This window comes from Homo sapiens, chromosome 5 (assembly GCF_000001405.40).
Source record: "Homo sapiens chromosome 5, GRCh38.p14 Primary Assembly".
Taxonomy (NCBI): Eukaryota; Metazoa; Chordata; class Mammalia; order Primates; family Hominidae; genus Homo; species Homo sapiens.
In genome coordinates, this window is record NC_000005.10 from 32,946,505 (window position 1) to 32,962,678 (window position 16,174).

At 39.5% G+C, this 16,174-nt stretch overlaps 1 long non-coding RNA gene across 1 annotated transcript; it reads left to right on the forward strand.

Annotated features, from left to right (window-relative positions):
- The first annotated feature begins 938 nt into the window (after positions 1–938).
- On the forward strand, positions 939–15,963 carry LINC02120 (long intergenic non-protein coding RNA 2120). Its single transcript, NR_033832.1, has 6 exons — positions 939–1,317; positions 2,439–2,596; positions 3,612–3,779; positions 12,110–12,193; positions 14,637–14,755; positions 14,864–15,963. It is a non-coding gene; the product is annotated as a long intergenic non-protein coding RNA 2120 (long non-coding RNA).
- The last annotated feature ends 211 nt before the right edge of the window (positions 15,964–16,174 follow it).

The following is a 16,174-nucleotide window of genomic DNA, read 5'->3' on the forward strand; positions in this document are numbered from 1 at the left end:
AAATATAATGAAGATCTGGGTGAACATGTTCATCCTCAGTTTAAGTTTAAGGTTAGATTCCACCTTTATGTTGTATCTTAAAGCAACATTTTAGGTACCCTTGGAGAGTAGCCAGAATAAAGGACCCCCAAAGCTGTCTGGTCTGTGTCTTAATCCCCCGAATCTGTGATTATGTTAGGATACATGGCAAATAAGCATTAAGCTTGCAGATGGTATTAAGATCTCTAATTAAGATGACCTTTAAGACCGGGAGATTATGCTAGATCAGCCCGATGAGCCCCGTGTAATCACAAGACCATTCACGTGGCCAAGGAAAGTGGAAGAGTCAGTGTCAGAGTGATGTGATATAAAAAAGATGTGACTGGCCATCGATGGCTTTGAAGATGGGAAGAGGCAACGAGCCAAGAAATGTGGGCAGCCTCTAGGAAGGCTGGGAAAGGGAGGAAAACAGATTCTCCTCTAGAGCCTCCAGAAAGGACATCTGAATTTTAGCTTAGTGAGAGCCATGTTGGACTTCTGACTTGCAGAACTGCAAGATAATAAATTTGTGTGATTTTAAGCCACCAAGTTTGTGGCAATTCGTTACAGCATCCACAAAAAAGTAACATATCTTCTAACTCAGGCTATGCCTACAGAATACTAACAAAAAGCCACTTAAAAATAACAATGTCGGCCAGGCGCAGTGGCTCACGCCTGTAATCCCAGCACTTTGGGAGGCCGAGGAGGGTGGATCATGAGATTAGGAGATCGAGACCATCCTGGCTAACACAGTGAAACCCTGTCTCTACTGAAAATACAAAAAATTTAGCCGGGCATGGTGGCAGGCGCCTATAGTCCCAGCAACTCAGGAGGCTGAGGCAGGAGAATGGCGTGAACCCGGGAGGTAGAGCTTGCAGTGAGCCGAGACTGTGCCACTGCACTCCAGCCTGGGCGACAAAGCGAGACTCCATCTGAATAAACAAAAAAAAACCCCAAAAAACAAAAAAACAATGTCATGGTATTAGTTAAGGCAAGTGATATTCGCTACCATAACAAAAATCTCTAAAAATCTTATGGCTTAATATAATTAGAATGTACTATTTGCCCCGGAGAATTCAGACAGATGTTTGTTTCTGCTCTAGTCACTTTCCATATAGTCATTCCAAGTCCAGTCTTCTTCCATCCTGTGGCTCCGACTTCTTCCAAGACCTTAAAATCCTTTCTCCTTCCAGCAGATGCAGAAGGAGAGAATGTGTGGAGGATTATGTAGAAGGATTTCACGAGCCTGGCCTGGAGAGGACACATCACTTCCAACTCCATTCCATTACCAGAGCTTAGGTGAATGCATGTGCCTCATTTTAAAGCAACATTTTAGGTACCCTTGGAGAGTAGCCAGAATAAAGGACCCCCAAAGCTGTCTGGTCTATGTCTTAATCCCCCGAATCTGTGATTATGTTAGGATACATGGCAAATAAGAATTAAGCTTGCAGATGGTATTAAGATTTCTAATTAAGATGACCTTTAAGACCAGGAGATTATGCTAGATCAGCCCGATGAGCCCCGTGTAATCGCAAGACCATTCACGTGGCCAAGGAAAGTGGAAGAGTCAGTGTCAGAGTGATGTGATATAAAAAAGATGTGACTGGCCATCGATGGCTTTGAAGATGGGAAGAGGCAACCATTACCAGAGCTTAGGTGAATGCATGTGCCTCATTGCAAGGGAGGCTGTGAAATGTAGTCTAGCTGTGTCCTCGAGGAAAAGGAAATTTGGAACTTGACTAACACATAGCAGTCTCAGCCACAACTGGGCAAGGCCATCTTTTGACAAAATATAAAAAAACAGGGACAGGGAAAAACAACAAATTTCATTGTGAAGTAGAGTCAATTAAATAATGAGACGCATAATAGATAAGCAGCTATTAGCGCTAGTTTAAAATACTTGCAACATCACTGAGGGATTCCTGAAAAGTCACTTAAGGTCTCTGGGTCTCAGTTTTCTCATCCCGGATACAGCAATAAAAATCTGCCCTGCCTCAAACTTGTTCTCTGTCCCAGCTTTTGCCAGTTTTCAGGTTTTTAGAAAAAACAGAAAGACACTAAACATGTTTATTTGTTTGCATGTGCATGTCTAGAGAATGTGAGTTACGCTATTTTTTATAAATGAATTTTTCCAAATTGACTAGTTAAATATAAATGCATAGTTTCTTTTTGTTAGGTTGCCCATCGAAATTGCCATTTTTTAGCTTAAATATGGCCAAATGACGGCAATTTCATGTAGTTGAATTTAATATATTACATTAAAATAACATGTTGGCTCCTTTTGTATAACCAAGAAATGACTTAGGAGACTGTTTCTGATTACTGTAAATCTTCACTGTAATTCTCTATCATGATGTCTTGTTTATTATCTTCCCGTATTTTGCAATTTGTAATTTATCTGTTTGTTTGCTTCTTTAAAGTCTATTTCCAGAAGATTATAAGCTTCATGGGGGTAGATGCTTTACTTCATTCATCACTGCATCTCCAACGCCTAGCACAGAGTCCTGAATTACAGGCTCAATAACTATTTACTGAATGTGAAAACAGAGCTGCTTGAAGATATATGAGGCTAATTGAGGTGACAATATCACATAACTTTTATCTGAGATTGCAAATAAATTGTTATACATATTCCAGATAATATTTTTCACCTGTTTTACTTCAATTTTTATAAAATCCAGAATTCCTTTCAATGCCAACCAAAACCACTACGCCATTTGTGTACTACGAAAAAGCAGTGCCTACACTGTTGTAAATGCTTTTCCATGAATTACTTTGGATAGCTAAAGACTGTGACTTTGAAGCTCGTAGTGATTCATTATTATTGTGAATTGCACAGGTGAGAAGGGACATAGAGGTTGCTGAACCTCTCTTTACCCAAACCCTCCTAGACTGGTGCAAATTTGTTCAATTTCTAACATCTTCCTAGAAGAACGTTTCACACTCAGCTTTTGGAACCACTTCCAATGTATACCATATGTCAGCGTTGTTGGGATTTTCTTCCTTTTAATTTAAATGCTTGTACTTAGGTCTGTTTCTTCTTGTTGTTAAGTGAAAATAGTAAAAGACTGTCATCTTTTGGGTGGTGAAAATTCATCAAAGCCAAGAAAACCATCTTTTAATAATCACCAGTTCTCATTGTTCTATGTTCATGTGGTTTTGAGATGTTTTAGACCCATCTCCAAAAATACCTGCACCCCAGGCAAAACTGGTAGCAAAACAGCAACCCGGACGTTGGTGTGCATGTTAAAACGTTGTTCTGACTCACAGAATTGGAATGTAATTTACTACTGGGGATAAACTCTGTGAAAACACCTCCATGATCAAAATAAAAGATGAAAAAGAAGAGCATCCTTGGGCCCCAGGGAGAGAACCAGATCTGATGGTGTCTGGTGCAGCTTGCAAATGTGAACATTTCTTAAGGCCACTACAGGACAGGAATATAGGAGCCCAGAAATAATTGAACTTGAAAATGTTCCTGCCCATTTGGCTGAAATCAATGGTGAAAACCCCTATGATATTGAATATGTTTTTAAATTTATATTAAATACCTCCGTTTTTTGGAAATTCATTTTGCTTTTCTTTTTACTTAGCTTGTGCATTTGTTGGCTATTGCTGCTACAGTGGATGCTGTTGTTCAGTATTCAGATATCAAGAAACAACTAGCCAAAGTAAGGAGGAACGAGGGGCCCATGAAGCTCAGTAGAGCTTGTGATAATATTTGCAAGAGAAGACTACCTGCCAAACTAACTTCAGAAAAGGTGATGATGATGTTCCCTACTATCAAATACAATGTCATGGAAATAGAGTGTTAGGTACAAAGATAAAATCAGAAACACACAAGTCCCCTGGGAGATGCAGCAGCAACAGGAGTGGTGTGTGGGGCAGCCCTAGTAATGTGAAGGAGGACGGATAAGATTGAATTTGCTCATGAAGAGGCAGTTTCTTGTTGCATCTTTCTCAAAGCACTTCTTTTTATCTTCTGTGACACTATGTTTTCCTAGGTAGTAGGTCTTCCTACCTGCTCTGTTTTAATCTCTGGGTAATCTTCAACCTTGAGTCTCCTAATGGAGAGCCTTCCCTAAGACTCCTTTCTCACTCCCCTCCTATGACCTGTTTAGCAAGCAAACCCTTCTCTATTCTCTGGCTATGATCTCAACTCTGGACCTTGTATTTCCAAATGCCATTGATAATTTTTCATAGGCATATGCATTGTAATGCACTGTAAAGTTGAATGGAATTCATAGGAATGAGACACTTCCCTCATCAACCAGAGAAGAACAAACAGAATATATTGGTAACTATATATGCCTCAGGACACATGTTCATGTATCCTTTATAGAATCTAAATATAAGCACAGTATTCTGTCTACATGGAATCCTCAATGCAAGTTATTGACTGACTGACATAAATCTGAGTAAAGCATTCATATAAATCTGAGTAAAACTTTATGTAATAGATTATAGGGGATTTTTTAAAATGAGCTATGTAGGGTCATTAGTGTTGGGCTGATAAGTGACAAAGAGAAATTAGCATTCCTTGGCTCCCATTTTGTGCCTATCTTCTCAGAGTTTGTCTTGACCCCAGGGCAAGAAAGCTGTGCCTCATATTTCTGCACCAGTCAGTCACTTGTTGAGAGTTGCCTGGGGACTTTCAGGTCTGTCCTTGTGTGGGCTGAGGCCCAGGAGCACTTTGGTAGCCCTCCAAGAAAATTGGTGTGAGCTTTGGAAGCAAGAGCACACAGAAGCCAGGGGAGGGTCACACAGCAATAGCAGGCAGAACACTGGCAGTCTCCTCTACACCAAGAAAAAATTTAATATCTCATGAAGCATAGTATTAATATAAATGTAATTCTGTCTTCTTGGAAATTCCAGTAACATGGAATGTTAAATGGATGCTTCCAGAGAGACATCATCAACTATTCGAGATTTAACTCTCACCACTGCTTCTTAAAATGCACCAGGTGGACCCCTCTCCCAAGCTGTGTAGCTTGAACACTTCACTTGGTGACAAGGCTGGCATTAGGATGACATGCTGAGGGCAGCTGGGGCAAAGGACATGACACTTGATGGCTATCTGACAAGCTGAGGCCAGGAGAGTTATACTGTCCCTTCCTGCATACAGAACTCTGAATTTTAATGAGGACTAAGTTCTGATTTTTTTTATCTTGCCCAAATTCCTAGCTAAGGGGTCTGGGAAGTCATGCCCTACAAACCATAAATTCTCATTAGGTGGGTTTTATTTAACCTGATATATCATGACTTACTTTCCTACCTGACTCTGGCATAATGAAGTGACATTGTTGTCTGGGGTTGAATACCTGGGGTTTGTTGTCTCATGCCAAGAAAATTAAGGACATGGACACACACACACAGAGTGGGTTAAGGAGCAGAGTTTAATAGGCAGAAGAAAGGAGACAGCAGAGCAGCTCTCTCTCTTGAGAGAGAGGTTTCTGACAAAAAAGGGAAAAGTGGCCAACACAGCAGATTTTATAGGCAGGCTTGAGGAGGTGGTGTCTGATTTACATAGGGTCCACAGATTGGTTTGGCCAGGTGTGCCATTTACATGCTGCACGGGGAAGGCTGGTCATCCCACCCTAATCATATTATGCAAAAGGCCCCTTGGCCAGTGCCATCTTGTCTGCTCCTTACTATACACCTGGCTGGCAGAGAAGGGAAGATGGAACTGCCATTTTGAACATGATTGGCACAACTACCGGCATCTAGTTCTGCAGCTCAATTTTACAGGCTGCCCTTTGTTAGAAAGGAAAATGATTTGGGGCTGCTTTTCATTAAAAGGAAAACCTTACTGAGGACTTCTGTACCCTCGTTATCTGCCTAAGTAATTTCTAACTCCTGTATCAATAACATTACAAGGAAGAAAATAAAAATATTTTACTCCAAAACATATTTCTTTGCCATATCTTGAAATGGCCCTGCAAAGCTGCCCTTTGTGGGGGAAAATTTGCATCTGTAAAGAATCCCTATTAACATAGCTAGATCTTTTTCTTTCAGGCCCTCCCAATCCTAAAGAGATTAACTGAAAGTCTAGCACCTTTTAAAGACCTGAATAGGAAACATCTGTCATCTATTGTCTCTAACGGCAGCCACTATAAGACCTCAAAAAAACCTTGTGTCCACAATCTTCTTAACCTGAATATTTCCTTTCTACGGATCCCAGGTTTTTAGACAAACTCCATCAATTGTCAGAAAAGGTTTAAATTTACCTATAGCCTGGAAGCCCCCCTCCCACCCCCTACACCCTTTGAGTTGTCTTGCTTTTCTGGACCAAACTAATGTATTTCTTAAATGTATTTGATTGATGTCTCTTGCCTCTCCAAAATGCATAAAACCAAGCTGCACCCCGACCACCTTGGGCACAAGTTCTCAGGACCTTCTGAAGGCTGTGTCACGGGCCATAGTCACTCTTTGGCTCAGAATAAATCTCTTCAAATGTTTTGCAGGGTTTGACTCTTTTGTTGACACTAGTGGCTTTGGCTTTGTGACACTACAAGAGGCTTGAGAGACTGCAAGAGATGCTAGAGAAATTCTTTTAAAAAAAGGGAACTACTTTTAAGAAGAGGTATGACTGAGAAGAAGGGAAATAAAACTTTTTTTATTCTAAAACAAAACCTAAACATATCAATAGTATTGCCCTTCAAAATAGCACCCTCATTCCAGCAACCCGTATTCCAGCAGAAGAGCAGCCATCACTCAACTGCCCCCCAGGGACTGCTATGAGCCAGCTAAGACAATCAACATTTTTAGTTTAATGTTACACCTTGATTCAGTCTCAGAAATGTGAAATAAAATGTGATAAGCTGTTTTACTTATTAGATATCACTCCAAATGATTTCAGTTATTTACAATTTTTTAAAAATCACCTTCATGATTAAAAAATTTGGTGAAAAATGTCCTCCACTGAAGACATCATTCAGATCCAGAAGGCATTAAGCAGAAGTACCATCATCTAGATATTAAAGGCCCCAAAGTACTAAATTAGAATTACTAAGCTATTTCATGTAAATATGGATTTTTTTTCTTTTTTTGCCCAAATTATCCAGGCAATTTACTGGTTTTCTTCTGTAGCACATAGTGTGTTATAGCTCTGTCATGGTTAGTGCATCTTACCAGGTATGCAGTTTTTTCTGCATTGTAGTTTAAAAAGTAATCACATAAATTATATAGCAAAAAGGCTCACATCTGCTAGGAGCATGACAGAAGCACAAACTTAAATTGGAGTTCCTGTCAAAGTCTATGCTGTCGTGTTCATGGACATAACATTGATCCTGGATTCCTGTGGCCACTAACTAAGGCTGGGAGCAGAAGAATTAAAGGTCAAATGCACTCTTTGCATTCATGACCATTGAACAGTAAAATCCATTGTGAGTTGAAGGTTTCCTCTGTGTGGTAATTAATACCATTTCATGGTATTTGCCAGTTACACAAGAATGCACAAAGTTGTAAAAATGTTAAAAATAGTTAAACCTGGATGGCTTCTGTCACTTTGTCTCATAAAAGAGAAGGAATAGAAACAAAAGAGGCAAAATTCCTTGTGGTTGTGTGAGGAGAATTCCATTCACAGAAGGACCTGCTCAGGTGAGCAGACAAAGGACACGGAGAGCTGGAAGTCGTTTAATTCCATTTTTGCTGCAGGTAGAGCATGCTTTATCTGAAATGCTTGGGATCAGAAATATTTCAGATTTTGGATTTTTCTTGAATTTTGGAATACTTGAATATATATACTTGGGAATGGGACCCAAATCTAAACACAAAATTCATGTATGCTTCATATACACCCTATACATATAGCCTAAAGGTGATTTTATGTAATATTTTAAATAATTTTGTGTATGAAACAAAGTTTGAGCACACTGACCCATTGGAAAGCAAAGGCGTCACTACCTCGGCATTTTGGATTTCAAATGTTTGGATTAGAAATGTTAATGTACCTGCTTCTTGAGAGTTCATCACAGCTTGGGGAACAGAAAAAACTCATTTGACTGAAGGAAAAATAACTCCGATATGGTAGCACAAAACATTTCAGAATCATAGAGGTAAAAGAGTCTCGGAGAGAGAATCTGTTACCTTCCTCTGACTTCAAGAACAGCCATTCTAATGAGGCAGTTATGTTTTATATGAAAATATCTACTCTAAGGCAGAGAATGCTAAAACTTATTGGGTAATGCATTTCAATCCCTAAAAATTAAGATATGTACTAATGCTCCAGGTTCTATTAACACCCATTTTTTCTTCATTACTAATGGAATTGATAATCAGTTAATCATTGTCATATGAATAATTCTACTCAAAAAAGGACATTCTTAAGTCATTCTTCAGCTTTAAAAAAATCTCCAGGCTTACTAAGCCTGGAGATAAATATAGGTGTAATTTTCTTACCATTTAAACAATCTTTTTGATTTTTTTCCAAGATTCACTCGTCTTAAAATAAATCTGGTTTTAGCTAATACGCTTCAAATTGTTGTTAATAAATGGAGAATTGACACTACTTATCCTTCCTCATCTTCTGGTAGCATTTTCTAGAAAGCTGGCCAATTTTTAGAAAGAGTGTTGTATCCACAAGCCAATGAGAAAATAATTAGCCAAAACGAGGACTAAATTCACAATTATGTCTTTCTTTGTACCGTGCCTAATAAAATAAAATAGCATATGTGAGGCAAGAAGGCTTTAAGGAGGAAAGAAGAGGAAAGGGGGTTACAGAGTTTGTGGAAAAATCTAAATATTTAGGAAATAGACATTATACTCTTATTCTTACCAGTGGGGCTGGGGTTCTGAAAAGTTAATGGGAAATATCAGTGTTTCTGTGCTAATGAGAGTGCTCATCAGAGAAAGGATAATACAAGAAACGAAACAACTGAGCAGGTGAGAGGGTATGGGATCCAGGTAGAGGGGGACTAGATTTTGGTAAAGCAATGATAGTAAATTCAACGTGGCTGAAGAATTGCAGTTTGGGAACTGAATGCAGGTATGAATTGTTAGATATGATGGTGGAAAGCTGATGGTGACTGCTTCTGTGATGTCTGTAAATGTTACAAATGAGAATAATAGGAAAGGTGAGGGAGTAGGAAATTTTGGGGGGTAGAAAAAAAGATGTGAACTAGTAACTTAGGAAAACAGAAAGGTGAATAAACTAGGCATGTGTGGTAGGATTGCCCATTTGAGGTTAGTGGTCTGGATATAATGTGAGATCAGTCAGCACAGTTCTTGGGTGGCCAGGGCAGTCTCAATTTTAGTTGTTGATTTTTTTTGTATTACCATTTGAGAGATACTTCTCTTTGCCCATTGGCTGTTTGGATAACCTCTTGACTTGCTAAAAGTGTGGAGGGAATGTCCAAGCCCACTGCTGTCTGGAATCACAACCTTGGACTGTGTCACAGCTGATAAGAGATAATGAAACAGAAGGAGGTGCCTAGGGAAGAGAGAAGCAGTTTTTCTCTGAGCTGGAGTATACTCCCTACAAGTTGAAGATAAGAGAGCTTCAGGGAGGCCAGCTTATAGGTCAAGACGCAGGAAGGAAGGGCCTTAGGATGAATAGCCAGCACCATCTTATCCTAGACAGCAAGGCTCCATCCTATTGTTGATTCTGGGAGTAAAATGGTTTCCCTGATTACTAAAGCCTGTTTATTCATTCAGGCCACAGAAGCAAGTATGTTCACACCATGGCAAGCATACAACAAGCTTTTTTTTTTTTTCCTATGCAGCATAATTTTATTTTTTAACTTTTATTTTAAGTTCAGGGGTACATGTGCAGGTGTGTTACACAGGTAAACTTGTGTCATGGGGGTTTGTTGTACAGATTATTTCATCACCCAGGTATTAAACCCACTACCTATTTGTTTTTCCTGATCTTCTCCCTCCTACCACCCTCCACCCTCTGAAAGGCCCCAGGGTGTGTTGTTTCCCCTCCATGTGTCCATGTGTTCTCATCATTTAGCTCTCACTTGTAAGTGAGAACATGTGGTGTTTGGTTTTCTGTTTCTGTGTTAGTTTGCTAAGGATAATGGCCTCCAGCTTCAACCATGTTCCTGCAAAAGACATGATCTAATTCTTTTTTATGGTTGTATACTATTCCATGGTGTATAGGTACCACATTTTCTTTATCCACTCTTATTATTGATGGGCATTTAGGTTGACTCCATGTCTCTGCTGTTGTAAATAGTGCTGTAATGAACATACATGTGTGTGTATCTTTATGTATGTATTTATTTATTTACATTTTTTTGAGATGGAGTCTTCCCCTGTCACCCAGGCTGGAGTGCAGTGGCACAGTCTTGGCTCACTGCAACTTCTGCCTACCAGGTTCAAACGATTCTCCTGCCTCAGTCTCCTGAGTAGCTGGGACTACAGGCGTGTGCCACCACACCAGGCTTATTTTTGTATTTTTAGTAGAGATAGGGTTTTACCATGTTGGCCAGGCTGGTCTCAAACTCCTGACCTCAGGTGATCCGCCAACCTCAGGCTCCCAAAGTGCTGGGATTACAGGCGTGAGCCACCACGCTCAGCAAGCATATGTCTTTATAATAGGACAATTTATATTCCTTTGGGTATATAACTTATAATGGGATTGCTGGGTCAAATGGTATTTCTGTCTTTAGGTCTTTGAGGACTCGCCACACTGTCTTCCACAATGGTTGAACTAATTTACACTCCCACCAACAGTGTATAAATGTTCCTTTTGTCTACAACCATGTCAGCATCTGTTATTTTTTGACTTTTAAGTAATAGCCATTCTGACAGGTGTGAGATGGTATCTCACTGTGATTTTGATTTGTATTGCTCTAATGATCAGCGATGTTGAGCTTTTTTTCATATGATTGTTGGCTGCATATATGTCTTCTTTGAAAAGTGTCTGTTCATGTCCTTTGCCCACTTTTTAATGGGGTTGTTTTTTTCTTGTAAGTTAAATAAGCTTTTCTTAACACTTTCTGTGTCATCACATTGTCTCAGACCTTTGTTTCCATCTAGCTGTGTTATTTCTGCTCTTTCTCCCCAGTGGCTGCTTGTTTTCTTCCACATCCAGCCCTCTAAGTGTGGTCTTCTCTGAGGCCCATCCTTGGTTTTCTCTTATGATCAGTTTATACGCCCACTCTTAGAAAGGTGAATCATTCTTTTGGTTCTAGTGCTCTCCTTGTCTCTCACTTTGTGTTTCCATAGAGATAAACATCAGAACTTCAATGTGTCTAAAATCAAAACATTTGCTGTCTCTTCTCCTGGGTTTACTACATGGGATCACGAAGTTACCATTCTCACCATCTTATAAGCTGGAAACCTTGCAATGTCATTACTTTATACTTTTCCTTCTCCATTACTTCCAATCTACCTCCACATCCTCTCCATTCTACTTACATAATGTCATTTTTTTATCCATGCTTTCTTCTCCATCCACTCTGCCATTTTCTTCAGGAACTACAGCTACTCTCTCAAGGATTACTTTGTAGCATCCTAAGCTGTCTCTCCAGCACTACTGTCTCTCTGCTCAAAGCCTGTACACCACTGTGCTATCATCTATGGTGTGCTAATACCATGGTGTTCTAATTGATCCTGCCCAATAAAGTCCAAAGTACTTAACGTGGCCCTCGTGGCCTTCAATGATGTCTCTAGTCTTTCCAGCCTTATTTTCCGTAATACATGTATCCTCACCACATCAGTGGCACAATAAAACTCTCCCCAAGTATGCCCTATTCCCTTTCCTCCGTATCTCCTCTCACGTCATTTCTTCAATAATCACTTTCTTCTTTTCTCATAATCCATCCCCAATTAAACATTCCAGCCTCCTCAGTTTAACTGTAGCTGGCATGACAACATTGTTTCTACATATATTTATAATAAAAACATATAAAATGTATAAAACATAAAAAAGTAATTGGCTTAAAATGTTATGTATTTAATTACATAGACACACATATATAAAGTTTTCAAGCCAATTATGTTTTAGTTTTCCATTATAAAAGATATGCCAGCACACTGAAGAAAATCTGGGAGATGCAGATAGGAAAGAGAAAGATATAGCTCATGGAATGATCAACATAACACAACCACAATGAGGACACTAGTACATTTCCTTCTTTAGGTGTTTCTGGTTGAAATCGTCGTGCCCAACATTCCACCAGGTTCCTCACATGTTGAATACATCAAAGCCTACTCCACCCATCTGGTGAGTCTTGATTTTAACTCTTAGAGAACTCAAAGTTGTACTCTTCTATTGCTGCTCTGATACTATTTTTATAAAAGGACTACATTATTTTTGTTCAAAGCAACCAAATTAAATCCATAGAATCCACAAAAGATAAATTTAACCAACAGCTCAAAGGCTTGACTTTCTCACCTTTTCCCAAGAAGGCATTTTTGACAATTTTATCAGTTATCTAGGACTGCCATAACAACATACCACAGGCCGGGTGGCTTAAACAACAGAAATTTATTTCTCACAGTTCTAGAAGCTGGAAGGCCAAGATCAAGCTGTCAGCTGGGTAGGAATTTCTCCTGAGGCCTCTCTCTTCAGCTTGCAGATGGTTCCCTGGTCACTGTGCCCTCACATGGTCTTTTCTCTGTGCATGTGTGCCTCTCTGCTGTCTCTCTTCTTTCTTACAAGGACGTCAGTCATACTGGACTAGGGTCCCATCCTTATGAACTCATTTAACTTTAATTACCTCCCGAAAGGTCTTATCTCCAAGTACAGTCATATTGGGTGTTAAAGCTTCAACATATGAATTTCAGGGGGACGCAATTCAGTCCACAACTGTGATGGAAACTTCTATGGTCCCTTCAACATAGGACAAATGTACTAATAGGGATCTCATTTTTTCCCCTTTGCTTTGCTAATAATATGCAATTTGGAATAAGAAAATGTAAAGTGCCACCATAGATTTACATTAGCATCAAATTGGAAAGTTCACTTCTGAATCATTTCACATGGCTGAACATTCACATTGAAATTTTGCCTCAGGTGTAATTGTAAAAACTGCCCCCCATCACTTTCTACTAAAGGGGAATCAAAGAATACCAGTTTCATTAACTGAATTTGGTTACAAATCACACTGATACCAAAGGGAGGATAAGTGTTAGGTCTAGCGATGAGGCAGCTGCTGTCACAGCTTTTCCCATTGAGTTTCCAGTCCATCCAGAAGAGCAGTATCTCCCTTCCAAGAGATAAGTTTATGTTGGATTTGGCACAGAAGGCAAATTCTGATCTGATATATGTAAGACGTTGACATTTCCAAAAGAAAGTCACAATGTGTTCTCTCCCAGGGTCACCAATAAGTTCTGAATATGAAACACAACAGGGCATCTGTTCACCTCTCCCCCAACTTCTAGAAAGTAAAGTAAGTTGCTCTACACAAGAGGCTTAGTGGATGTGCTTCATCATCACAAACAGAGGTGTCGATTATGGAAATTATGGAGAAACAAAGCCATGTGCTGCTTGTCACTGGGAGGGGTAAAATAACCAAGAATCCAGAAAACAAAGGCTCTCAAAGGCAAGCCAGAAAACAAATCAAACACCAAGTGATCACACTGAAAAGAATAAATGTTACAGTATAGCATTTGATTCTTGTACTTGTCAGTTGGCTTTGTGGATGCCCTCAAATTGGAAGCTTGATGTTGGAAGAGCCCCACAGGGATGAAATCAGAAAGGAACAAATAAGGGCTGGAGAAGTGATCAACTGTTTATCACAGGCCAGTCCCCAGCACTTAGAAAAGGTCTATATGTCAGAGGCCCTGATATAGTTTGTGGCATTATGGGATTTGCTTTGGGAATCTAATAAAGGTGCTTACAATAAAGGCAGTCAAACCGATGCACTTATAATTGCTATGGGGTAAGGACAGGATACATTATTTAACTTGCTAGAGGTCTTCAAACTTCATTTCACAGTTATTTTGGTGCTCTTTTCTTCAAAAATCTTCTATGAATACAAAAAACACAAATGTGTTGAATGATGCAAATTCCATCTCCATTGTTTCATGCCAGCTCTCTTAGCGAGGTGCTAATGAGCAATAAAATGGTCCCTAAACAGGCTTTTGGAAAGAGAAGGAAGAAAATCCAGGAACCAGGACAACCCAAAGCTGGATCATCACTCAGAATGAGCTATAAATTATCTTAACTGTCTTCTACAATGCTGCCTGAAATATTAGGTTTCTCAATCCAATTGTCACATGGCATCAAAATTACACCATTACCACTAGGCATTTCTCAGCAGAGAGTTTTCTAGGCAACAATGCTTCTTTTCTTCCTCTTTCTCTTCATAAACAGAAAAACATGGAATCCATATTTTCCCAGAAGATAAACATGTGATTCACTTACCACGGGACTGTCTGTAAAATAACTCTGGCTCAGGGTGTGGACATCATCTCACCCATTGTCATCACAATATTCTTTAAGTAACCACTTTCTGGGATAGAACTGCCCCAACAAGGTAGCAGCCAGGTCACATGGTGGTTTTAGTTTACTCTCTCAAACATGCAATTCCAATTACAAAAAAATAAATGACTCTTAATGATGGGTTCAATAATAGTGGGTGTGGAAGCACTTACAGTTCTAGGACTAAGCCAGGTTTTGTACCGAAAATTAAATCACTGAAATGATATTTTCTTTTAAATAGGAATGGACAAGCAGAAATGACTCACTGTGTTTTCCAATTGCACTCAAGACCTGTCTCCATATGCCCTCCTCCTCTGCTTGAGCAGAAGGTGAAAGAGGTTGTGTTGACTGTGGAATTTGGTGAGCTTATGAATTTCTCAATGAGTCAATTTTCTGAAAACCAGTAGCTTATATTTCACAAAGTTTCAGTGTGACATAATTAAACTTATTTACTATTGACTTTCATAGGCCATTGAATCTTGAAGACAAATGCTCTTTGACTTCACTACAACATCAGAGGGCACTTGGCCAAGGAAGACTAGTTAGAACCAGCCTTTTTGCAAACACAGCTGAGGTTTTTATCCTGTCTTTTCTTCATCACAAAAGTAGCATGGAGAATAATGGACAATAGAGTTCAAGTGGAGCAAGAACTGTCCAGAATTTGGGGAAGAAGTCACATATCAGTCCTGGCCATGATAACTGGGGCACATGTACTATATCCAAGTTGATATCCTTAATTTGGGGAAAGTTTTCTTGCCTTTCCCACAGCCTCCCAAGCCATTGACAATTCCCACATTCAAAACATTCTCATTCACATTTCTGATTCACTTTGGGCTACAGGAACAACAGATGTTGAGTACTTCTAGGGAGCAAATCCATTATAGATGGAGGTAGGTCTTGCAAACAGAGAGGTAGAGAGCTTTCTCGAGACCTTTGGACCAAGCAGATAACATCACAAGGTGTACCTTATGCTAAGTGCCTGATCTCTAAGACCCTCCACCAGCGTCAGAGAGACAGCATGCTCACAACATGACAGCTGGTCATACAGGTGAAGAAGAACATGAAGACCAGCCCACCCCTGAAAATGACAGATCAAACTCAGCTTCACAATGTCTCTTATTCCATCGCTAATGGTGTTTAAAAACACACTTTGTCTTAAGGAACAAGGGGAACTGACCACGTGTTCATGACGGTTCATTTCTTACCCTCTGCTTTGGCTTGACCAAACTTTAGTCAGGTATCTCTCCTCCACAAAGATTCCTAGACTTTGGCTGTCCCCCAAGTTTAAGCAAGCACTGAAACACTAAGGAGCAGAACATCTGTTAACAGCTCATCCTGAAAATCAACTGACCATAGGAAAAAACACTCCCTATTGAGATATCCTGGTTTTGCCACCTGCTCGCCCACACTCTATGCCCTTCTCCTCCACAAAGGTCTGGCTGGTTCTTCTCCCTCCATACAAAGGAAAAGCTTATTTCTGTTTGATTTTGAGACATTTGCAGATATCTGAGGTTGGCATGTTCTTCCTATTGCAATAGTCTTTTTGAGTAAAGTCTCTCTTTATCTAAGTCTTATTTGTTTTTAATTAATATCATGCAACTGGATACTTTATAGAAATAAGAATAAATGAGACACACATATATGCAACAACATGAGTGAATCTCACAAATATAATGTGAAGCATAAAAAGCAAGAACTAAATGGCTATATGCTGTATACTTTATATGAAGTTCAAAAGAGGAAAAATGAACATAAATTGTTGAAAGTCAGGATAGTGGC